This window comes from Homo sapiens, chromosome 5, assembly GCF_000001405.40.
Source record: "Homo sapiens chromosome 5, GRCh38.p14 Primary Assembly".
Classification (NCBI taxonomy): Eukaryota; Metazoa; Chordata; class Mammalia; order Primates; family Hominidae; genus Homo; species Homo sapiens.
The window spans coordinates 131,786,948-131,811,120 of record NC_000005.10 but is presented as its reverse complement, the minus strand read 5'-3'; the positions used below and the strand labels follow the sequence as shown (position 1 = coordinate 131,811,120).

The window sequence follows — 24,173 nt, the reverse complement described above, 5'->3', positions numbered from 1 at the left end:
CTAATGAACTAACGGTGCCATCTCCTGGCCTCTTTCTAGGCTCTCACCGTAACAGCTGCCTCCTGTTTCCCTTTCAACCTCTGGCCACTTCTCTCTTTCCTTTAGTAAAAATAGCAAAGCACCAAGCTAACTAGTGATCATGTTATTTTAAACATGCAGCAGCCTATTTTTAGTCCTGGCATTTAAAGTTTTAGCTATTTTGGCAGTAATCTAATCAGGACTACAGGGTGAAATTCACTTTTGAATTTCAGTCTAGGACTGTGATCAGTATGATTTTTGTTCATTAATAACTGGCACTATGCTGATTAAATAAAAAACAATGGTGAAAGTGAACCAAAGAGATGTGATAGAGGAGGTGGTGTGGGTAAGTCGTTGGAATAGTGACAGCCAGATAAAGGAGGCTGTAGAAAACATCTAGTCTAAGCTTTCTCAATGCATGGTCCTTCTGACTACCTCACCAGAATAACTACAGACCTGGTAAACTTCAGTCTCTAGAGATGGCACAGGAACCTGCATTTTGAAAGTGATTCCAGTAAGCACAAACATTTGAGAACCATTTCATTAGTCTATTTTACTCATCTTACATATAACAAAAATGACCTGGCCAGGTTAAGTGACTTGCCCAAATGCACAGAGCTTATTACTTGTAGAATCAGAACTAGAACAAGACACTGTAGGAACCCAAGAGAGGACACTTTTAACTTTGAGGTGTTAGAGAAGTCTAATAATACCTTTTGGCTAATCAGACAAAACCTGCAGCTATCCTTATAGTAAATTTTAAGATTTTTTTTTATTCTATTTTGAGCTCCAGAAGAGACGATAAATTATGTGTTATGAATTCATATCTCAGTCTAGTACTGTAGAATCACGGCCTTTAACTGGATGCATATGTTATCTTTAGTGAGAAATTTGATTTTCTAGATAATAATAGCAGGCAGAAGTATCACACAGATATATGACAAATGAAGTGGAAACATATTTATTCGAGTATCCGAAAGATGGTAGTACAAATCACTTAAGAATAGGACATCCCTAAGTTCAAATCCTAACTGTTACATAAGCACATTCCTTAAACTTTCTGAATTTTAGCCTCCTATCTGTAAAATTGGTAAAATAGTAGTTCTTACCTCAAAGAATTGTTGTGAGGACTAGAGATAATCTTTGTAAAGAGTGTGACATATAATAATCACTCATTATGCAATAATTATTTGTTTCTATAGGTTAGGTTAATTTCTCAAGTTTAGCTTTCTTCATCTCCCTTTTGAAAACTGTTCTTTGGTTTTGTTTGTTTTTTTTTTTTTGTTCGTTTGTTTGCTTGTTTTTTGAGACAGAGTCTCACTCTGTTGCCAGGCTGGAGTGCAGTGGCAGCTCACTGCAACCTCCGACTCCCTGGTTCAGGCGATTCTCCTGCCTCAGCCTCCCGAGTAGCTGGGATTACAGGCACGTACCACCACGCCCAGCTAATTTTTGTATTTTTAGTAGAGACAGGGTTTCATCTGTTGTCCAGGAATGTCTTGATCTCCTGACCTCGTGATCCACCTGCCTCAGCCTCCCAAAGTGCTGGGATTACAGGCGTGAGCCACCGCACCCAGCCTGTTCTTTGGTTTTTATCAAATTGCAAAAAGCCTAAAATATGCTGACTGGTTAGCGTCATTGATGGTAAATTGGGTTATGCCACCTCATGTAAAGAATATGTCAGGTAAGTGTGTATAGTCTTTGACACAGAACCATTGTTCTAGTGAAAATAAAGAGATGAAGTATGCCAGCCAGTGCCTTGGGGATAAAGAAATCCAACTAGTTTGCCATCGTGGAGGCCTTTTAAGTCTGTTGTTTTAGTGTCATATGGTTATAGAATGAAAAGATGAAGTTCTCCAGTTATTTGGTTCACTCATTCAGCAAACATTTATTGAGTCTGGATATCATATGCTAGAAATAGTTGCTGGTGATATTGAGATAAAGACATAGTTGTCTTTATAAAGTTTATAGTCTCATAGAGGAAGTCAGATATGTAAAACAAGCCCAATAGAGGTATATATGTGTTTTTGTTTTTGTTTGTTTGAGACAGAGTGTTGCTCTGTCGCCCATGCTGGAGTGCAGTGGTGTGATCACAGCTCACTGTAGCCTCGACCTTCCAGGCTCCAGCGATTCTGCCACGTAGCTAGGACTACAGGCAGGTGCTACCATGCCTACCTAATCTTTATGTATTTTGTAGAGACTGGGTTTCACCATGATGCCCAGGCTGATCTCGTACTCCTGGGCTCAAGCAATCTGCTCACCTTGGCCTCCCAGAGTGCTGGGATTACAAGCATGAGACACCACACTTGGCCCAAATTTACTTTTTACTTGCTCATTCTCACAGGAAGTATAGGGGTGATTTGAGAAAAAGAAATGACCCTAGAAACAAAAAGGCCAAGTGGGAGTTTTGCAAAAGTTCCAGTGAGCAAAGTTGAAAAAATAAGTATCTGAGCTAGTGTATCTCAAAATGTGGTGCTCAGGCCACCAGAGGAACTTATAAATAATGCAGATTCCCAAGTAATCGCCTCAGGGATCTGATTTAGGATTTTTGTAGGATTTAGGAGAACCAGTTTAAACTAGAAATTTTTTATTGGTATAATTGACAGGGCTTAGTGACTAACATAGGTACTGGTGCAGCGTAGTAAGAAAGAATGGTAGTTAGAGATGACTTTTGGGTCTCTAGTATTGTAAAGCATCAGAAATGATGCACTGTAGGTGATGGTGAGGGAGAATATAGGTCATGGCCTTGGATGTGTATTTGAAGACTGAGAATTTGAAGGGTAGGTGAGATAAGATAGTTGGGTGGGCTGATTACCCATTTGGGAAGTTACCCAGAAGTTCATGTGGAGAGGATGACTGTGAACCATTTTGCAAAGTCTTTAATGAGCGAGCAGTGTCTGAGGTCAGTAAACAGGGAGGAGTAGAGAGTAGTAGGTATAGCCAGCACTTCCCAGACTTTAATGTACTTGTGAATTGCTTGAGGATCTTGTTAAAATGGAGACTTTGATTTAGTACTTTTAGAATGGGACTGCTGATTCTACATTTCTCACAACCTTTTAGGTGATGCTGACATAACTGGTCCATGGACCCCACTTTGAATAGCAAAGATACAGGTGTCTGGTTCTCAGCTTAGCTGCACATCATACCTTCCTGGTTGTCTGATATGTGGGTCCCTTATCTAATTGGTATGGAAGATGGCCTAGATATCAGGATTTTAAAATCCTAGGTAGTTTTAGATGCAACAAAATTTCAGAGCCATTGATATCGGCTGATTTGGCCAGAGGATGAGGTATATGATAGTATGAAAGTGGCAGTGTTAACTAGGTAAAGCTGGTTCCACTCTGGATCTCTTGGCACAAGATGTGGGGGCAAAGGCCCCAGAATCAATCCTGTCTTCGGGATGGAACCTGGGTTCAACTGTAATAAAGGTTAGGAAAATGCAAAGGAAGGATGGGCAAGAGAATATGAGAGGCGACTTCCTGGGTGGTGGCTGAGGACAGGGTCATGAAAAGCACAACTGGATCAAGTGCTCCAGGTTACAAGGCTGGGGTTAAAGGCTCTGTGATGGCCACTGACAGCAATTTTTGCTGGGCTTTCCACCAGAATGTTATTGAGCAGATCTCCTTGCTTCTCCAAAGAGAACATGTCCTCAGCATGTCCTAGAAGGGATGAGCCAAATATTCCTTTTTTTTTTTAAATGGCCTCTGGATTTGTTTCCTAAGGCTTGATGGGCTGAAACTAGAGTGACCTGGGCATTAAGTGCTCTCTCCCCTGCAGACTGGTTATTAGTAAGTATTGGACACCTGCTTGTATACAAAGTAATCTATTGTTATTTTTTTTTCTCCAGATATCATAATAAAAATGGCATGAAAAAACAGCTGTGGCTGAATTTTCACCACTTTGAAGACAGGAGTGTGAAGTCAAAGTCTATAAAGCAGAATGTCTGCCTGAAATTATATGAAATTAAAAATTAAAAATTCTCCAGTTATTTGTGATATATCTCTATGTTGAAATTCTACTGAGGTTCTTGTCATTTACTTTTAATCAGTTAAGAAAAAAAATTATTCCATATGCTTCTTAAATATATGTATTTATATTAAAAGATAAAGAACCAAATCATTGGTATTAGAAGACTGTAAACTAAAATAGATGGTTTTAGCTATTTATAAAGAGGCTTCATCCCTGAGAGGTCTGAGAAGGAAAAAAGAAAGACAATGCCAGGGTACAATGTAACTTCCTTTGATTGTTTTTTTTTCTTCAAAGTTTATCGCTAGTACGATTAAAAGTAGTAAATCTTTCTCTAAAGCAATGTAGAGAAAAACAAAAACAAACAACAAAACAAAAAAGTAGTGAAGTTATTGAAGTGCTAAAAATGAAAATGCTTATATTATGAGCTATTTATAACAGAACTTAATTGAAACCACATGAGTGAGAGACCTAATTTCAGGTCTGACTGAAAGAAACTCTATACTCAAGGTTTGCTGAAGTAGGGAATGTATAATATGTATAATCAGTCCTACACTATTTAATACATTACCTTATCCCCCCCCAAAAAACCTTCTTTAGCTAATACTATCTGTAGGATTTTTAAAAATTTGGTAATATAACTTGCAGTATCTCAACAATTCCCTTCTTAAAAAGCAATGATCCTGTACAGTGAACAGAGTCCAGTTGTATAACTTGGAGAGATTTTAACTTGATTAGTCCTTGATGCTAAAGGGCTTTACTAATATTATACATTCATAAGAGTCAAATTTTCAAAACTTCAGGATTAAGAAAGATTGTAACATCTATGAGTTATTTTGCAGTTAAATAATCTGTATAGTATTTATTTTTAACAAGGCATCCCTATGAAGGTACTCTTATAATGATTTGACAAGGCTTTAAGCCACTAACAAAGCTATTTGTGATTTTGTGATTTCATCTGAAGATGAAATATGGAAAAGTTGTGAAGAAACATAGATGAGAACGTTAACGATGGAGACTAGCATAAAATTTAGACCTGTATTCTAAATTAATACTCAACTAAGTCAGCAACTCTTGTGGTGGTTTTAAAAGAAGAAATGTGATAAGCAGTGGGGAAGTAAGGAATGAAATAGAAGCCCTCTTCTCTGCCTTCAAGCAGTTTATATTTCAAGTGGGATGTGAGAGAATGAGAATGAATTATTTGCTAGTTTCTAATCAGGTGATAGGTTCCTGTGAGAAGGAAAGATACTTGATTCTTGGATTGGGCCTGGTGGGGTGGAAGAAATAAACATTTGATGGTTTCACATTGCTGATGAAGAAAATATAGGTAGCTCTGAGAGGTAAATGTTTGGCCAGGGCTATGTAATTTAGGAAGTGATGGAGCCAAGATACGGGGCAGGAGTATTTGAATATAATATTTTTTTCCTTCTCCCCAGAAAAGGCACATTCAATGTTTTTGTTTTATAGACTGCAGCACAAGGAAAGGTCAGAGGGAGGAAGGAATTGGAATTGGCATTGGCATTCAAGGCTTAGGAGTGGAGGATATAACAACTTCAATTATGATTAAGAGCAAGGAATGGCTGGGTGCGGTGGCTCACCCCTGTAATCCCAGCACTTTGGGAGGCCGAGGCAGGCGGATCACGAGGTCAGGAGATTGAGACCATCCTGGCTAACACGGTGAAACCCCGCCTCTACTAAAAATACCAAAAATTAGCCAGGCATGGTGGCGGGCACCTGTAGTCCCCGCTACTTGGGAGGCTGAGGCGAGAGAATGGCATGAACCCGGGAGGCAGAGCTGGCAGTGAGCCGAGACCACGCCACTGCACTCCAGCCTGGGTGACAGAGCAAGACTCTGTCTCAAAGAAAAAAAAAAAAAAAAAAGTAAAGCAGAAGAAGCCTGCTGGCTGGTGACATGAGAAGTCCAAAGAGGAATCCTATTGGCAAGTCCTTGGAAAAGGTTGTATGCGTAATCTTTACATCTGTTCCAGGCCTCAGAGGTCTTTCAGTGAATCTCCCTGGAAGAATATGAAAAAAGGAATTCATCTCTTTCTGGGATGAGGGATTCATAGTTTTTATCTATTTTCAGTGTAGTCTGCGATCTAAAAAAGGTTAATGAAACAACCTTTTTACTTCAGCATGTAACTAAACTTTATTTTTAAGCATTTAAAATTATATCTTAAAATTTTATCTCATTAAAAACAAATCTCAGGTCATAAGTACCTCAAAAGTTCAGTTAAAAGTGCATGAAAGAGCCAGGCACAGTGGCTCATGCCTATAATCCCAGCACTTTGGGAGGCTGAAGCAAGCAGATCACTTGAGCCCAGGAGTTTGAGACCAGGTTGGGCAACGTAGGGAGACTCCATCTCTACAAAAAAAGTACAAAAATTAGCTGGGAGTGGTGGTGCTTGCCTGTAGTCTCAGCTACTCGGGAGTCTGAGGTAGGAAAATTGCTTGAGCCCAGGAGGCAGGGCTGCAGTGAGCCATGGTCGTGCCACTGCACTCCTGCCTGGGTGACAGAGCAAGACCCTATCTCAAAAAAAAAAAAAAAAAAAGTACATGAAAGTTGATGTCATTTCCATTTTTAACTAGAACTTTTTTTCCCACCTCTCCAAGATATCATTCATCATGGTTTGTTCAGTAATGAATAGCCTTTTATGTTGTGTATATAGCATATATGTTTATATAAAGGTGTGATGCCCAAACTTTCCAGATAAGTTATCTTCAACCTCTCCTGCTCTACTCTTATTTTCTAACCAGAATTTTAAAATGTTTCATCATCTTACATGTTAAATCCTACCTTGACTCCATATGTTTTTCTAGCTAGCCTATCATTCTTCATCCGTTTGTATTCATGTTTCCTAAAGAGCGTGCTTTCTACTTTGTCACAGACCCCTCACCTTTCACCCTTCCTAAACATACCCAAACACACATAATTTGGCCTTAGCTTTGTTTCTCCGCTGACATTGTTCCCCTTAAGGCTCCCAGCAACCTCCTTGATGCTAATCTAAGGGGTATTTTTCAGTTCTCATCTTACCCAACTTCTTCCAGCTAATGATGTTATAGACTAGTACTTTCTTCCTAAAAGCCTCCAGAAAAGAATGACTTCTCTGAAACATTACCCTCCAGGCTTTCATCTCATCTTTAGCTCACTCTTTTCCATTTCTTACAAAGGCTCCTTTTTTTCTGCCCAATCTTTAAGTTTTGGTGTTTCCTGGGGTTCTGTTCTGGGGCATCTTCTCATGCAACACTTGCACTGGGTGATCTCATATACTCATGGCTTAGTTACCATCTCTGTGCAGCTGACCCCAAGTTTTTGTCTCTGTTATGGATATTGGTAGTGGACATGTGTGGTGACTTCCCCTGCATCTATCCATTGCCTTTCTAACTTTATCCTAAGTGGATTTTACATTTCTCAGCCATATGGTTTAGGTGGGATTGATCCCACCCATAGTTCCAGGGGTAGGCCTTTAATGGCATAAGCCAATGCATGTTAGCCTTCTCAACTCTGGCACAGTAATTGGTTCAGTGATGGGTCCAATGCCTAAAATGATCCTATTGGGATTAAATATCAGAGTTTTTTTCTTGGAATGCTGGGACAGACTTTTCTTTTTCTCTTGGACTTTCATCTGAAAGGATATATCCTGGAAGCTGCTGGCAGCCAGCTTATGTCCATGTTTGGAAACACTGCCTGGAATAGAGTCTGCACAGAGAAATTAGAGATGAGAAGAAGAAACTGAATTCTCGATACCATTGATGCAGTCCTTGGATAAAGCTGTGCCTGAACTGTTCATCTACACTAGATCCAGTTATGAGAGCTAATCAATTTCATTCTTTGCTTACGCTAGTTTTGTTTGGGTTTTCTATCATGTGCAATGTAGAACATCCTGACTAATGGACTCAATCAAAATCTTTCTAGAGTTTCCCGCATCATAGCATTTATCAAAATGTACTATAATTGCCTGTCCATTTTTTATTTTTATTTTGTATTTTTTGTGACAGAGCCTTGCTCTTTGTCACCCAGGCTGGAGTGCAGTGGCACAATCTCGGATCACTGCAACCTCCGCCTCCTGGGTTAAAGCGATTCTCTTGCCTCAATCTCCTGAGTAGTAGCTTGGACTACTACTGCTGGTAGCTGTGCACCATCATGCCTGGCTAATTTTTGTATTTTTAGTACAGACAAGGGTTTTGCCATGTTGGCCAGGCACGTCTTCAACTCCTGACCTCAAGTGATCCACCTGCCTTGACCTCCCAAAGTGTTGGGATTAACAAGCGTGAGCCACTGCACCCAGCCTGTCAATTGTTTTTTTCTCCCTAGACTGTAAGGTCCTTGATGCAGAAACTATGTCTTGTTCTTTATTGTATTGCTCGATTCTAGCACAGATACATATTAAGCATATTAAATGTTTGGAAAATATTTTTTGAAATAATTTTTGTCATAGTTTTGTGCACTTATAATAGAATTCAAGATGAGGATTTCAAGCCAATTTATATTTGAAGGAAAAGTTTGATTCCCTGAAATAACTTATGACAATCTGTAATAGCTTTTTTGTTATTTAGTTTCTTAAGGGCAGGGCCTGTACCCATCTTGTTCATATTGTATTCCTAGCACTTGGAACATAGTAGGTGCTTATTTTCACCATCCCTATTAGGTTGTTTCTGTTGCATACAAAATTCTCTACTATCTTCCATCTTAAAACAAAAGAAAACCAATTGTCCCTTTCCATCTCCTCTCTGCTCCCCATCTCAGCAAAAAAAGAGGAGTTGTCTGCATTTGCTTTACCACTTCCATTTTGCCCCCTTTATCTTTTGGAAACTGCTTCAGGCTTTCACTCACATTACTCCATTGAAACTGTTCTTGTGAAGATACCCATATTGACAAATCTAATGAACACTTGAATTTTCAGCATCATTCAACACAGTTGACTCATTTCTTTTTAGAGACATTTTCTTCTCTTGTCTTACTGCTGCTCCTTCTCATTCTTCTATGTTGGATCTTTCTCTTCCAGACCTGTAAGTGTTATCCTCTTTGGGTCTTAGTTCTGAACCCTCTTTTTTATATATACACTCCCTTCACGTAAAGTCATCCATTCCATTATTTTAAATTCTGTCAGCCGGGCGCGGTGGCTCACGCCTGTAATCCTGGCACTTTGGGAGGCAGAGGTGGGCGGATCACGAGGTCAGGAGATCGAGACCATCCTGGCTAACACAGTGAAACTCCATCTCTACTAAAAATACAAAAAAAAAAAAAAAAATTAGCTAGGCATGGTGGTGGGCGCCTGTAGTCCCAGCTACTGGGGAGGCTGAGGCAGGAGAATGGTGTTAACCTGGGAGGCAGAGCTTGCAGTGAGCCAAGATCGTGCCACTGTACTCCAGCCTGGGAGACAGAGTGAGACTCTGTCTCAAAAAAAATAAATAAAAATAAATTCTGTCTAGAAGCTGATGCCTCCCAAATTTCTCTCACTAATCCTAGCTTCTCCCCATATATTCTAGTCAGTATCTCCACATGGATGTCTTATAGGCAATTCAAACTTAATACATCCAAACTTAATATGCTTGGTTTTCCTCTTAAAATCCATGTGTTCCCTGGTCTTTTAATCAGGAAATAACTCCCACTAAGTTGCTCACAGCAGAAACGTAGGAGTCATCTTTTTCTTTCCTTCATTCCTATTAGAAGTGTGTATCTCCAAAATAACTTGCTCGCCACCATCAATTCTCTCCTAAAGTACAAGTAGTCACCTATTTCATCTCTGATTCCATTCTTCCTCTTTTAAAATTCCTTCTCCACAGAACAGCCACAGTAGAATCATAAATTGTGTTATGTCCCTCTCCTATTTCAAACCCCTCTGATAGCTTCCATCACACTCAGTCTAACCTCCTTTCCATAATTTACAAGGTCCTACATAATCTGGCCCCTTGTACCTTTCTAACCATTTCAAACCATCTCCCATTCTCAGAGTATATTTTAGTTCTTCTGGCTTCCTTTCTCCTCTTCAAACAGGCCAAAACCATTTCTCTCTTAGAGGCTTTGTACTTTTTCTTCTCTTTGCCAGAATGTTCTTCACCACCTTCTTCCTATAGCTGGTTCCTTTTCATTCTTTACATCTTAGCTAAAATCACGCATCTTTGGATAGGCCTTCCCTGACCACCCTATCTAAATTTGGTCTCCATCAGTTGCTTGCTATCCATGCTTTCTTTCCTGGCTCCTAGCACACCTTGCAAACATCTTGTTTATTTTGTCTCTTCCCACAAAAAACTAAGTTTCTAAGAATAAGGACTCTCTTGTTCAGTACCATATTCCCAGTGCCTACAGTAGAGTCTGAGATGTTGGAGGGACTCAAGAAATGTTTGTTGAATAAATCACTGTTTATGTTTTCTGGTGCTTCAGAATACTGCCATTTCCTTATTATATAGCAATAAATGGTCAGTTGGTTTAGGAGTTTTTAAAAGTGGGGTAACTTGAGCCCATTTAATGTTTTTCGGGCAGGTCTACTTGATCATCTTGATTTTGAATGTCTTGTTCTGAGATGTCATCAATGAAATTATAATTTGTTTCATGATAATTCAGCATAATTGAGACTATACTTATTAGCATGATGGTTGAGGAAGATTTTAGTTTTATTGCCACCTTTTCCTATATGTAGTAACCAGGAAATGCCTATAGCAAAGAGTGCCTGTCTTTTATGCTATCAGGAGGGGAATCTTTGAAGCAGGTGGACAGAAATCTATAGACTGTTGGAGTTTTGAGGAGACTAAATCTTCCACCCTTGAGTGAGAGTGTAGTAGGCCTTATGTCTAATCTTTGTAACCCAGTAGTTCCACATTGATATAACGTAGCATGAATGAGTAGGTAATTATTTTCTTTCTCACATTTCCTCTTTGCTGACTCCTTAAACTTACAAAGGCTGCCTGTAAGACACCTCAGCTTCTCTGTGATAGGATGTAGTACTAAGTAAAAGGAAAAATAAAAGATAATATTCACTGATACTAAAATTGAAATATTTAAATTTTAATCTGAATAATTATGTATAGTTTTGTCCTCTTTTATTACAAACTTGTATCATTTCAGCGCTCTCTGATTCTGTGACTTTAGTATTACACTGCAATGTAGGAGAAATGTGATCAATAATAGGAAGTAAATCTAGTTTTTCTCTGTACCTTTCAAGACTAAATGAGACTACAGAAATAAAGCTATTACATGATTAGAGAATACTGAAAGTGTCTCTTATGCAAGCAGTTATATTCTTTTCCCTTACTATTAATATCTATAATTACCCATGAAGTAATTTTTTCCCAAGACGAAAGCACACAAGGTTATTGTATTTGGAAAGTTCCTTCTGAGGGGACCTGGAACTACTCTTTTCTGTGCCAGTCATGGACAGCCATTAGTCCTTAGTGTCTTTGGTCCCGTATAGACAGACTTTGGCCTGTTTCCACTTGTACTCATTTAGTGTAACTTAACTAGTGTAAAAACAAAACTTCCCAAATGATTGCCCCATTAATTGACTGATAGGATCTACACTTCTGTTTACTTTTTAAAAATTGCATTGACTTTATTTTTTTGTTTACAAAAACTTCATTTTTCATTCTACATTCAAATGTTTTGTGAGAAAAATATACACAGCTCATTTTACCCTGTTAGAAATCTTTCAGCATTTGATGCCAGAGGATTATCTGAAATGTCTAGGTGAAATAGTACTGCTGTTTTGATCCTGTATTGCCCAGTAGTTTCTGGACCTTGGGTAATACACAGAGCAACTGAATGATTTTCAACCTAAGCACCTCAAATGTTACCTCCTCAGACTTTGCTGACACCCTCATTTCATTGCTTATTTCTTACTAACTCCACAACATTAGTTACTATCTGAAATAACTTTATATACTTATTTACTGTCTCCTCACCTAGAAAGTTAGCTCTTTTGTACTTTGGATCCCCACTGCCTAGAACGTAAATGATTGTGGAAAGAATATGTTAATATCTTAATCATCAATAAATAGTGCAATAACTTTAAATACTTATTTACTGTCTCCTCACCTAGAAAGTTAGCTCTTTTTTACTTTGGATCCCCACTGCCTAGAACATAAATGATTGTGGAAAGAATATGTTACTATCTTAATCATCAATAAATAGTGCTTTAAAAAAGTCTTGGAACATTGAAACTCAGTATTTTGGTTGTTGACAAATTCTCAAAGAGATATAAATTCTGCCTATTACTTTTTCTTTTCTAAATATCTTCAGACCCTTATTTAGAGCATAAACTCTAGCTGCAAATCAGTGGGAGTTGGTAGCCACTTAAAGAAAATAAAATTTAATTTGTATACCTAATTAAATGAAATTCTCAAAAAGTATTTGTTTTTTGAGATAGGGCCCCCCTCTGTTGCCCAGGCTGAAGTACAAGTGGCACTCACTGCAGCGTTGACTTCCCACACTCAAGCTACCCTCCCACCTCAGCCACCCGAGTGGGACCACAGGTGTGCGCCGTGACCACACCTGGCTAATTTTTGTTTGTTTTTGAGACGGTGTCTCGCTCTTGTTGCCCGGGCTGGAGTGCAATGGCACAATCTCGGCTCACTGCAACCTCTGCCTCCTGGGTTCAAGCAATTCTCCTGTCCCAGCCTCCCAGGTAGTTGGGATTACAGGCATTCGCCGCCACCACGCCGGCTAATTTTTTGGAGACGGGGTTTCACCATGCTGGTCAGGCTGGTCTTGAACTCGTGACCTCAGGTGATCCACTCGCCTCGGCCTCCCAAAGTGCTGGGATAACAGGCGTGAGCCACAGCGCCCGGCCACACCTGGCTAATTAAAATTTTTTTTTTTTTTTTTTTTTTGTAGAGACAGGGTCTTACTGTTGCCCAAGCTGGTTTCGAACTACAGAGCTAAAGCGATCTGCCTGCCTCGGCCTTGCAGTGTTGCGATTACAGACGTGAGCTACCACGCCTGCCCAAAGTATTTTTATCCAGCCTTCCAACCATATACAAGTTATTTCCTAAATTTCTCTGAGGATTACATCCCATTGTACGAGCTTCCTCATCCTGGAGGGGGAGTGAGTGAATGGATGGGGTTGCTGAAAATTTATAAGATTAGTTTGATACAAACTCTGATATATTTTGGTTCCATGGGTTAAATAAGACTGTGAGGTCACATGTGAGCAATGTTTTTCTTTTTTTAGAAAGCGTTTCTTCCCTGTAACTTGACTAAAATTCCACAGTTCCTCCCGTCTTCATACCTAAACATTAAGATAGATTTATTAAAAATCTAAATAATTAGCGTAAAGGGTTAGATATCTGTACATATATGTCTTTAGGCTTCCTGACTTCGTTGGTTTCACCTGATTTTGTTGGTTAACAAGGAAACAGCCTAACTCCTGAGCCTCCAATCGCTAGCTCTTCCAAGAGACTAATTCCCGGTGTCAGGGTTCTAGGCGCTAGTACAAACTGCCCGCAGTGCCTGCTCGAGGTCGTCTTTGCGGGGAGCCATGGCTGTGGCAGGGGTCCCGGCAGTTTCCTTCACCAGTCCCTGTGAGCCAGCCCCCGCGCTGTCCAGATCCCAGACCTCTCGCGGGCCGGCGCAGCCTTCTAAGGGCGGTCCTGGGGTCCTGGGCTCAAAGTCCAGCCTTGGCCGCGGCCCCACGGGTACGCTTGTGGGCCTTCCGTGCTCCAGGAGCCGCCAGACTCTGCCCGGCGCGGAATGGAGGTGTGAAGCCGCAGAAGCTAGGGAGGGGCTGACAAGGAAGAGTCGGTTGCCCGTGGTTCCCTACGCAACTCTGTGGGTGCGGGGAGTCGAAGCCTTCTGCACTCCAAGGCTCCTGGCATCGTCCCCGCGCCACCCCGGCGTACCCTCTGATGGTCGCTGACAGCTTCACAGGGGAAGATCGAGACTGACCCTTCTCCCGCTACACATCCCTAGCCACCTTCCAGTCCTGTCCTCTCGGCTCACGCCCCGCCCCTGCCACGTGACGGGACCCGCCAGTGAGCCTATGGGAGGCAGCTCCGCCCCACGCCCCCACCTTGCCCCTTGCTCCGCGCGCCGCCACGTGATGCGGCCCCCCTCCAGCCAATGAGTGCCGGCCTTGCCTCGCGCCCCGCCCCGCGCGCCGTGGCCGTTTGAAGTGACTAATTTCTGTCATATGACTGAGGCGCCCATGGGGGTGGCGGGGCGGCTGTAGGAGCAGGGGCCTAGCAAGCGCCCAGCGGAGCGACCCCTGCCTGGCCGTGGCTAGCATGGCCCCTACGCTGTTCCAGAAGCTCTTCAGCAAGAGGACCGGGCTGGGCGCGCCCGGCCGCGACGCCCGGGACCCAGATTGCGGGTTCAGGTAGGGCGCTGTGGGGCGGGGGTCGCGGAGCCGATGGCCTTGTGGGCTCCGGGCTCCAGGGGTGTTGGGGCCTTCGGTGTTCCGACCCGAGCGGAAGCGCCGCGCCGAGAGCAGCATCTGGTCCTCGGTGGGGTGGAGCCGGCTGCGGGCTAGCGCCGAAGGGTTGGAGCGAGGTCCTACCTTTTATTTTACCCCACCCGCCTCGCCGTTGCCCCTTCCCCCTCCTCCCGTCGGTTTGTTTACGACCTGCCCCCAGCCACGCGCGACTCTGCTCCTCCGGACCTAGCACCGCGGCCTGAGACTTTGGGTCCACACGCCTTCCTGGCACCGAGTAGAGTTGGGCGCGGGCTGGATTGGACCTCAGCCGCCGTACTCCGGGCCGCGAAGTTCTCCCCTCCTCCCCGTGACCAGTTGTCCTCCGGGCGCTGCGTTCCAGCTCCGTTGGCGTTGTGGAGAGAGCGGCACGTTTGGCCAAGCTTCTGAGTTGAGAGAAGGCTGGAGGAGCGAGTAGGCAACGTGCCGTTCTTTCAGGTTTCTTGGACGCTAAAATTGGAGGTGTGCAGTAACCGGACCGAGCGACCTTAATGTTATCGAAGGAGAAATGTGAAACTTGAGTTTAGGGTTACTGCCGAAGGAAGACCAAATTGAATGAAATCTGGCCTTGGAATTGGCTGTAGATTCTTCCTCCTCGAATTGTTACTGAAAAGGAGTCTTAAAAATTGAAAATGTTAGTAGAGCATTTTGTAGTGTTACAGGCTTTGTTAATTTTTCATTGTAGTACCTGTTGCTGGCAGAGTAACTTTTCAGAATTGTAAGATTTGATATAAACCTGAATTCAAGGTAAAATTTAGTCGTTAAACTGCACCTGAGGAGATTATGTCCAAACAGCCTTTATACGTATTGCAGTGTGGAAACTTGCAAATATAACTAGGCTAAATGTCAAATGCCACACGTTTTAAACTTGGTAGGATAGCAAAGAGCCCAGTTGTACAACAATAGTAGAAACAAAAAAATAAAATAAAAATAAAAAAAGAGAATCTGTCAAATTTTGGAACAGGCGAAGTTGCCACACTGGTTTAAGAAATTTTGCTATTCTTAAAATTATTCACTCTCTCTTGCTAATGCAGGTCTCATCAGGAAAAATTCAGTAAATGCATATGGAATTGAAGAGGTTTTTCTACGTATCTGTCTTTTCCCCTGAAAAATAAATGTGTCATGCTCATCTGTCTCTCTTTAAACATTTCTTTAGTGTTTTTCCTTTGAAAAATGAAAGTGCAGGTTAGATAATACTACATTGAGCCATCTAGTAACTCAAGCGACAATAGGAAACAGGTTCCGATAGGATATTTAAAAGGTGGCATTTGAATAGACAACTGCTTTCTATTTCTGGACAAAGATTGACTTTGGGTACGTAGGTTTACAAGGCTCTCAAGTCACTCATATGAAAAAACATTTTCACGTCTGGTTTTCAAAAATGTAAAGTCTACTACATAGTTGCGTAATACTATTTTACAGTTACCAAAGAACTTTCTCATCAGTTATCTTATTTGATGTTTCACAGCAATCTTACGAGATAGAGCAAGTAGCAGTGCAGATAACTATATACTTTTGCCAGTGGAAGTAAGAATTATCTGTAAGCCCAATAACTGCAGTACATTATGGAATCTCTCACTTTAAAAATAAAACTTGTGCATGTGAGAAATGAAAACTGATGAAACAGAATAGGCATATCTGAAGGAAAAAAAACCATTCTGGTTAATGTCACATAGCTAATAACTTACAGATCTAATCAACCCAGGGTTTTTTAAAAACTATTTCATTGAGCTATAATTTATACACAATAAAGTATAAATACATTTTAAGCATACATCGTATACAGTTGTGTACCCACCACCCCCATGAAGTTTTAGAACACTTCCATCACCCAAAAAGTTCCCTCATGCTCTGTTGTAGCCTAACTCCTCCTCACCCGTGGCAGTCACTGATACTTTCTGTCATAGTCTTGTGTCTGTCTTGTTTGTTGCATTTATTAGTTCCTTTTTTTCTCACTCTGTCAACAGGCTGTAGTACAGTGGCGTGACCACGCTTAATACACTGTCAACCTCCTGGGCTCAAGGGATCCTCTCACCTTGGCCTCCCAAAGTTCTGGGCTTACAGGGATGAGCCACCACACCCAGCCAGTTCCTTCAATTTTATCACTGAATGGTATTCCATTGTATGGCTATACCATGATTTGTTTATTCAGCCACTAGTTGGAGGACATATTTTTTCCCCAGATTTGGGCTATTATGAATAATGCTGCTGTTAATGTTTGTGTATAAATCTTTATGTGGACATATATTTTCTTTTCTCTTGGATAGAAATCTAGGAGTGGGGTTGCAGAGTCATGTGCTAAATGTTGTGTTTAACTTTAAAAAAAAATTGTCAGACTTTTCCAAAATAGTTGTACCATTTTGTATTCTCAGTAGCAATGCATGAAGGTTACAGGTTCTTCACAATCTCTTCAATATTGATATTGTTATTTTTGTTCTTTTTTAATTAAAAATTTTTATTGTAAAAAAAATATGAAATTTACTTTTTTTTTTTTTTTTTTTTTTTTTAGATGGAGTCTCACTTGTTGCTCAGGCTAGAGTGCCATGATACAATCAAGGCTCATTGCAGCCTTGACCTCCTGGGCTCTAGTAATCCTCTCACCTCAGCCTCCTGAGTAGGCTCCTAAGTATCCTCCCACCTTGGCCTCCCAAAGTGCTGTAATTACAGGCATGAGCCACCATGCCTGGCCAAAATTTACTGTCTTAATCGTTTTTTTATTCTTTTGATTATAGCCATTCTAGTGGTATCTTGTGGTTTTAATTTGCATTTCCCGAAGATCATATTCAGCATCTTTTTATATAACCCAGGTTTTTGAGTAGACTAACATTTTGTTTTCATTCTAGTATACCATGCTTTCATTGCTGGAATCCTTTTTTGGGTGTTTTGTTTTGTTCTAGTCAGCCTAAATTGTTAAATCAGGCTTGGGTGTAGTTAGCCATTGGCAACTAACTGTAGCTCAGTCCCTAAGAGGCAGTTCCTAGAGTAACCAATATACAAAGCTCAGTAATTGTAAGCCACAGCAGGACTTTAGAATAGGAGAGACTTCCGATAAAGAAGCTTTAGGAACCTTTCTGTATTGTCTTTTATGGTTACCCCATTGGAAGAGATGGCCAGGAAATACCCCCTTCCCTTGTCTTCACTCTAAGGTCTCTTACCATATCGATTTCTATGTGCTTATCTAAGATTCTTGAGCTGGAGATGAGTTTGAAAAATATTATGGGGAGTGTATTTTTTCAGTCATTTATAGAATTGAGACAGTAATTTGTTTTCTCCATTTCAAGAATTTGGGAGAAAAGGCTGTTTCTAGTAGAAAATATTGCTTTATGTTCTCTCCATTTTCTTCCAGTGGAAGTAAAAAGTATAAGCCCAATAACTATAGTACATATAAAAGTGATTATTTTGGGCTGGGTTTGGTGGCTTATACTTGTAATCCCAGCACTTTGGGAGGCCCATGGCGGGAGGAGTGCTTGAGCCCAGGAGTTCAAGACCAGCCAGGGCAACATGGCAAAACCCCTGTCTCTACAAAAAATATAAAAAATTAGCCATGTGTGGCAGCATGCACCTGTAGTCCTAGCTACTCAGGATGCTGAGGTGGGAGGTTGCTTAGCCTGGGAGGTTAAGGCTGCAGTGATGAGCCATGATTGCGCCACTGCACTAGTCTAGCCTGGGCAACAGAGTGAAATCCTGTCTCAAAAAAAAAGATTGTTTTAAATAAAATTCCTGAAAACTAATTTGGCAAAGAAGGTTGTTTTGAAGTGAAATGTTTGTAGGGCATAATTAATGTTTTGTTAAATAATGTCTGGATTTTTGTTATACAGGTTGAGTATCCTTTACCTGAAATGCCTGGTTCTAGAAGTGTTTTGGATTGTGGAATTTTTTGGATTTTTGAATACTTGCATATGCATAATGTGTTTTTTCAGAGGTGGGACCTAAGTCTAAACATAAAATTCATTTTTATTTCATACATACCTTGTACACATAATAGCACATAATTTATACAGTACTTTTTAATGATTTTGTGCACAAAGTGTCGACTGCATTTTGACTCCTCACATGAAGTCAGATGTGAAGTTTTCCACTGTGGCGTCTTGTCAGTGATCAAAAAAATTTTGGACTAGAGATGCTCATCCTGTATCCCAAATATATGAACATTTATTCTGATTCTTTATATCAGGGATTCTTAAGGTACTCAGCCTTTTAACTGGTCTTTCTGTGATCACTCTTGCCTTTTTCCAAACTACCCTCAATATGTCACTTTTTAAAAAGTGCCAATTGTGGCTGGGCACGGTGGCTCATGCCTGTAATCCCAGCACTTTGGGAGGCCGAGGCAGGTGGATCACCTGAGGTCAGGAGTTCCAGACCAGCCTGGCCAATGTGGTGAAACCCCATCTCTACTAAAAATGCAAGAATCAGCTGGGTGTGGTGGCGGGCGCCTGTAATCCCAGCTACTCAGGAGGCTGAGGCAGGAGAATCGCTTGAACCCGGGAGGCGGAGGTTGCAGTGAGCTGAGATCGCGCCATTGCACTCCACCCTGGGCAACAAGAGTGAAACTCCGTCTCAAAAAAAAAAAAAAAAAGTGCCAGTTATCATCATGAACAGCAGACAAAATGAGACAAAATGATGTATAGAATTTAATATCTTCATAACAGGTTTATTTTAAGGATTCAGAGATAAGTCATGTAAAGAACTTAATGTGGTGCTTAGCACATGGCTTTCAGGAACCAGAAGTAGTTGTTACTGTTATATCAGTTTTGTGTAAAAACCACTTAGTTTGGGCCCAGACTCATTAAAGGATGGCTTTTGCCCATTCTACATAGTATGGCTTTTGCTAATTTGCTAGCCTTGACTTTTTTTTTTTCTTTCCATAATGACATTTTTTAAAAAAGCCACTATAGTATTATTGTTAATAGAATTAACAGAAATTCCTTAATAAAAGCCATTCTTAGTCCATATTCCAATTTGGTGTCATCTCAATATGTCTTTTTATGGTAGTTTTGTTTGAATCAGTCTTAAGAGTCTGTATATTGCATTTGCAGTTAGGCAGCTTAAGTAAATTTTATTCTATAACAGCCCTCCCCCACTTAAATGTGAAATTCCCCACATTCTGTGTTTGGCTTTTCCAGTCTTATGGTTTCCCAGCAATATGTGGTTTAAAAAGCCCCTCCAGGCAATTCTGATGCTCAGGTTTGCTGTAAGTTTGCTATAACCTATTTCTCTGTTTCTTGTCTTTCCTGAAAACTTGAAGTTCGATTTAGATATTTTATCATATTTACATTCCCTTTTTTTCAATAAAATTATTTTGTAGATGTTGTGTACTTCCTATTCATCAAAGTTACCTACCTGGTTGCCCCACTTGTAGTGATTTCAGGTGGTATCAGCCTTATTCTTCTATTACATAATTTGCCCTTTAACTAATGATTTTAGCATTCTTTGTTGATCATTGCCTGAATTCATTATTTTGTTAGAGTTTGCAAAATGGTGATATCCTGATTCTCTAATTTTTTATGCATTTATTTGCTGGAATAACTTTTATCAACTATTTGGTTACTCCTTGCTACAGAAAAGGGAGCATAAAAGGTGATTTCCCTTTGTCATTTTCCAAAGTAATTGGTAATGAGCTGTTCACTGCAGGTTTTTTGTTTTAATTATCATCTTAAAAGATTATCATGAGCTATTGGATTTTAGTGTGTTTTAATCCACTCCTGTCAAATTGTCTCATATTTGGCCAATGGAAGCCTTTTTAGGTTGACTTCTGTTTCTTTTTGACATGACCTCATTAATCTTTGATAACTTCTTGCTTTCTTCTGGCCTATGTCTTAATCTACACTCCTCCTTCTAAGAGTTTATCACCTTTGATTTATTTTAGATTCTGGGATGTGCCAAGCTGTACTGCTCCCTGTTCTTGATATAGTCCCTTATACCTTTTTGTTTGGCTTTTTGTAGTGATCATCTGGGCTTATTCTAATTACTACTTCCTCCAGGAAGCCTTTTCTGATTTCTTCCAGACTAGAGTAGGTCTGACTGTAACTTTGTTTCATAGCTTATTGCATGTCCTTCTGTGACATCTGTCATAGTTGTCATTGTCCACGTCTCTCTTCTTTGCTTACTTGAGCCTTTTCTTCAGTGTTAAGCATCAAGATTTATTTTATAGTCAGAACTCTGTAAATTCACGTAAGGGGTTGTGTATGGGGAATAGATGCCTAGGTTTTTGGCTGGAGCAACTAAGTAGGTGCCTTTTTTTTTTTTTTTTTTTTTTTTGAGACAGGTTCTTGCTCTATCGCCCAGGCGGGAGAGCGGTGGTGCGATCTTGGGTCACTGCAACCTCCGCCTCCTGGGCTTAAGCCATCTCCCCACCTCAGCCTCCCGAATAGCTGGGACTGCAAGGTGTGGGCCATCATGGCTGGCTAATTTTTTATTTTTTGTAGACACGGGGTTTCGCCACGTTGCCCAGGCCAGTATAGAGGCTGATCTTAAACACGCTATCAAAAATAGCCACCTTCTCCCCATTTTCTGTCAGAACACACACTTTATATCCATTATAGCTCTTTTAATAATTTATTATAATTTGTCTCCCCCAAGTTCACATTGTTGTGCCAGTGGACAGCACAGTGCCTGAGCATATGCTGAGGAAATATTTGTAGAATGAATAAATGAAATAACAATTTTAAGGGCAGAGGGAGAGGGTCAAAAGTTCTGTTTTGGATATTTGGTCTGGTTTTAATTGCCATTGAGATGCCCACGTAGAGATGACAGTTTAATAAAGTCAGTCTGGAGTTCACAGTAGAGATTGGGATTGCAGATATGAGTTTGTGTGTATGGTTAGTATTAAAACTACAGAATGGAAGAGATCATCTAGGAAAAGGGTGTAGATAGAGAAGTGGAAAGGACGGAGGGCTTCGCCCTGAGGATGTGTTAAAATACACAGATCTGAGAGAGGAAGATATACCAAGAAGATAGATAGGGAAAAGCCAGGGATGTGTGGTGTTAGGGAAGCCAAGAAAAGAAAGTGTTTAAAAAATGATAGAGTGAGTGATAAATTGTTTGTATACTGGTTGCTGACAGGTCTCGTGAAATGAGAAACAGAAAAGTGTCCATTATATTAGTCAAGATGGAGGAAATTGGTGACCTTGATGGTTTTTTGGTAGGGAGGATAAATGTTTGGGGGGAAAAGTGAGATAGATGTGGAGTAAATGTGAGGAAATGGCCCCACTACTTAACTTTCTATTATTTCTATAGGATAAATATTCTGTAGTGCCGAGTTATTTTTTCACTTGCAGTGTTCTGATTTTATGTCACATTTTGAGCTTCTGAAGTTCTTAAAAGCTAGCTTCATAATATTACCAACAATTATAAGAATCATGTTTCAGAAGTTTTGTTTTTTAAATGGGATTTTTAAAAATTTGTCATACCCACAAGAATTTTTATTTTACTTAATTTATTTTAAATATATGTATTTTTAATTGATTGGATTATACACGTCCCAGCCTCTTGTAACCACTATTCTACTCTACTTCTATGAGATCAACTTTTTTAGTTTCTAAATGTGAGTGAGGACATGTGGTATTTGTCTTTCTGTGCCTAATTTCACTTAGCATCATGTCCTCCAGGCTCATCCATATTGCCGCAGATAATAGAATTTCATTCTTTTTAATGGCTGAATAATATTCCATTGTGTATATATACGACATTTTCTTTATCCATTCATCTGTTGATGGACACTTAGGTTGATTGCATATCTTGGCTAGTGTAAATACTGTTGCCGTAAATATGAGTGTGCAGATATTTCTTTGACATACTAATTTTCTTTCTTTTGGATATATATTCAGTAGACAGATTGCTGGATCATATGGTAGTTTAATTTCACAGTAAGAAGTGCAAATATTATAATTTTGGTTGTTAATTTTATCTGCTTTTTCATCCCTAAGTAGTGGAATTAGATTTGTTTTTTACACTGGGTTTATTGAAAAAAAGAGAAAAATACAGCTTTAAAGTGTAGTTTATGAAACTTGGATATCACTTCTTTTTTTTTTTTTTTTTTTTTTGAGACAGAGTCTGTCACCTAGGCTGGAGTGCAGTGGCACAATCCCGGCTCACTGCAACCTCTGCCTCCCGGGTTCAAGCAATTCTTATGCCTCAGCCTCCCGAGTAGCTGGGATTACAGGCACGTGCCACCACGCCCAAAAATTTTTGTATTTGTGTTTATTTATTTATTTTAATTTTTGTATTTTTAGTAGAGATGGGAGTTTCACCATGTTGGCCAGGCTGATCTCAAACGCCTGACCTCAGGTGATCTGCCCTTCTTGGCCTCCCACAGTGCTGGGATTACAGGCGTGAGCTACTGCACCTGGCCTTGGATCTCACTTCTTACTAATATAATAATTATCTTAAATCCTATTGATTTTAAACTTGCTTAAAATAACTTCCCATGTAAAACATAAGATAACCTCTTTCATTTTAAAGGAGTCCTAATCTACTCTCTCTTGATTTTGTTTCTGTTTCTGGGACCACCATTCTCTTAGTCTACCAAGTTGAAAATCAGAGATCATTGTTTATTCCTCCTAGTCTTTGATTGCCATATTTGCTCATTTGTTAAGTCCTGTTGATTCAGATTCTTAGTAGCTTCAGTTCTTTTTCATTTTCCACTGTCATCACCTTATACAAACCGTTGATGCCTTTCTTGAAACTTTTCCATTACTTTCCCACTTCTTGTGTGTTCTGTGTTCCCCTCCACACCATACTACTACTTTTTTCAGCAGGAAGACAGGGTCTCACTGTGTCACCCAGGCTTGAGTTGGAGTTCAGTGGCGCAATCCTAGCTCACTGCAGCCTCAAACTTCACTTCGAGCAGTGGTCCCACGTTGGCCTCTCAAAGTGTTGGGATTACAGGTGTGAGCTGCTGCACCTGGCCCCACACTGTTCTTCTAAATTGATTTTCCTAGATCATAATTCTAATCAAAACACTCAGAAGTCTTGACTCCTCATTAAGCAATGAGGATTGATCTGTGCTGCACACTGTTTTATGTGCTTTACACCTATTAACTCATTTAATTCTCACAATAGCTTTATAAAGAGGTCTGATTATCCCTGTTTCATTGATGAGGAAACAGGCACAGAGAAATTAAGTATCTTACCCCATGTCACGTGGCTATTAAGTGATGAAATTAAGATTTGAACTTAGATGTTTAAGTTCTAGAGCCTTTGTTCTTAACCAAGTTCAAAGTCCTCAGTTTGGCTTATCAGCCTTTTATCAAGTTGTAGCTGGTGTGATGGACTTGATGAGTTCAGATCCATGCCCCAGTACTGCGGGGTGTCTGTGTGTATGCTTGCATCTCTTAATTCTGAAATCAGACCACTTGGTTTTCAAACTCGAGTTCTCACACTTAATTGCTGAGTCCTCAGGCTTCATTCTCTTTTGTCATTAGGTAATGCTAGAAGCAGTGCCTCTTGATCTGTTATCTCATACCACTCTGCCTAGGAGACAAGACTCTGTACTCCAAGATTTTCAGCAAAAGTCCTAAACTCGGTGCTGTTTATATCACCCTTGAACTTATTCATGGTCATCATGACCTGATTGGCTTAGGCATAGACTACCTATTTTGGTTACTGTGGCAAGGGGAATGGAGTTGCTCTGATTGTGGTAGTACATCTGGAGCTAGTAGTGAGGTCAGTCTCCCACAAAATGCTGGCTGAAGAGGGGGAAGTAGATACTGAAGAGATAGTCCCAGTATTTATTATACCTACCTTCTGATAGTTGTTTTGAGGATTAAATGGCATAGTAGGTACTCAGAT

At 40.3% G+C, this 24,173-nt stretch overlaps 2 protein-coding genes across 5 annotated transcripts in view, besides 2 other annotated features; both read left to right on the top strand.

Annotated features, from left to right (window-relative positions):
* The window catches only part of MEIKIN (meiotic kinetochore factor), a 138,674-nt gene extending 134,543 nt beyond the window's left edge, over nucleotides 1-4,131 (top strand). Inside the window, exon 13 of the mRNA NM_001303622.2 lies at nucleotides 3,863-4,131. Within this exon, the coding sequence (NP_001290551.1) occupies nucleotides 3,863-3,885 (23 nt within the window). The 3' untranslated portion in view covers nucleotides 3,886-4,131. The remainder of the gene's footprint in view (nucleotides 1-3,862) is intronic.
* Nucleotides 13,901-14,160: a silencer, noted in NCBI's record as "silent region_16309". NCBI's record gives its function as "represses an Ori minimal core promoter by ATAC-STARR-seq in GM12878 lymphoblastoid cells {active_cell/tissue: GM12878}" and the evidence as "EXISTENCE:reporter gene assay evidence [ECO:0000049][PMID:35858748]".
* Nucleotides 14,104-24,173, top strand: part of FNIP1 (folliculin interacting protein 1) — a 155,304-nt gene continuing 145,234 nt past the window's right edge. For all 4 annotated transcript variants that reach the window (NM_001346114.2, NM_001008738.3, NM_133372.3 and 1 more), the window contains exon 1: nucleotides 14,104-14,291. In NM_001346114.2, the coding sequence (NP_001333043.1) occupies nucleotides 14,200-14,291 (92 nt within the window). In that variant the 5' untranslated portion in view covers nucleotides 14,104-14,199. The remainder of the gene's footprint in view (nucleotides 14,292-24,173) is intronic.
* Nucleotides 14,211-14,490: a silencer, noted in NCBI's record as "silent region_16308". NCBI's record gives its function as "represses an Ori minimal core promoter by ATAC-STARR-seq in GM12878 lymphoblastoid cells {active_cell/tissue: GM12878}" and the evidence as "EXISTENCE:reporter gene assay evidence [ECO:0000049][PMID:35858748]".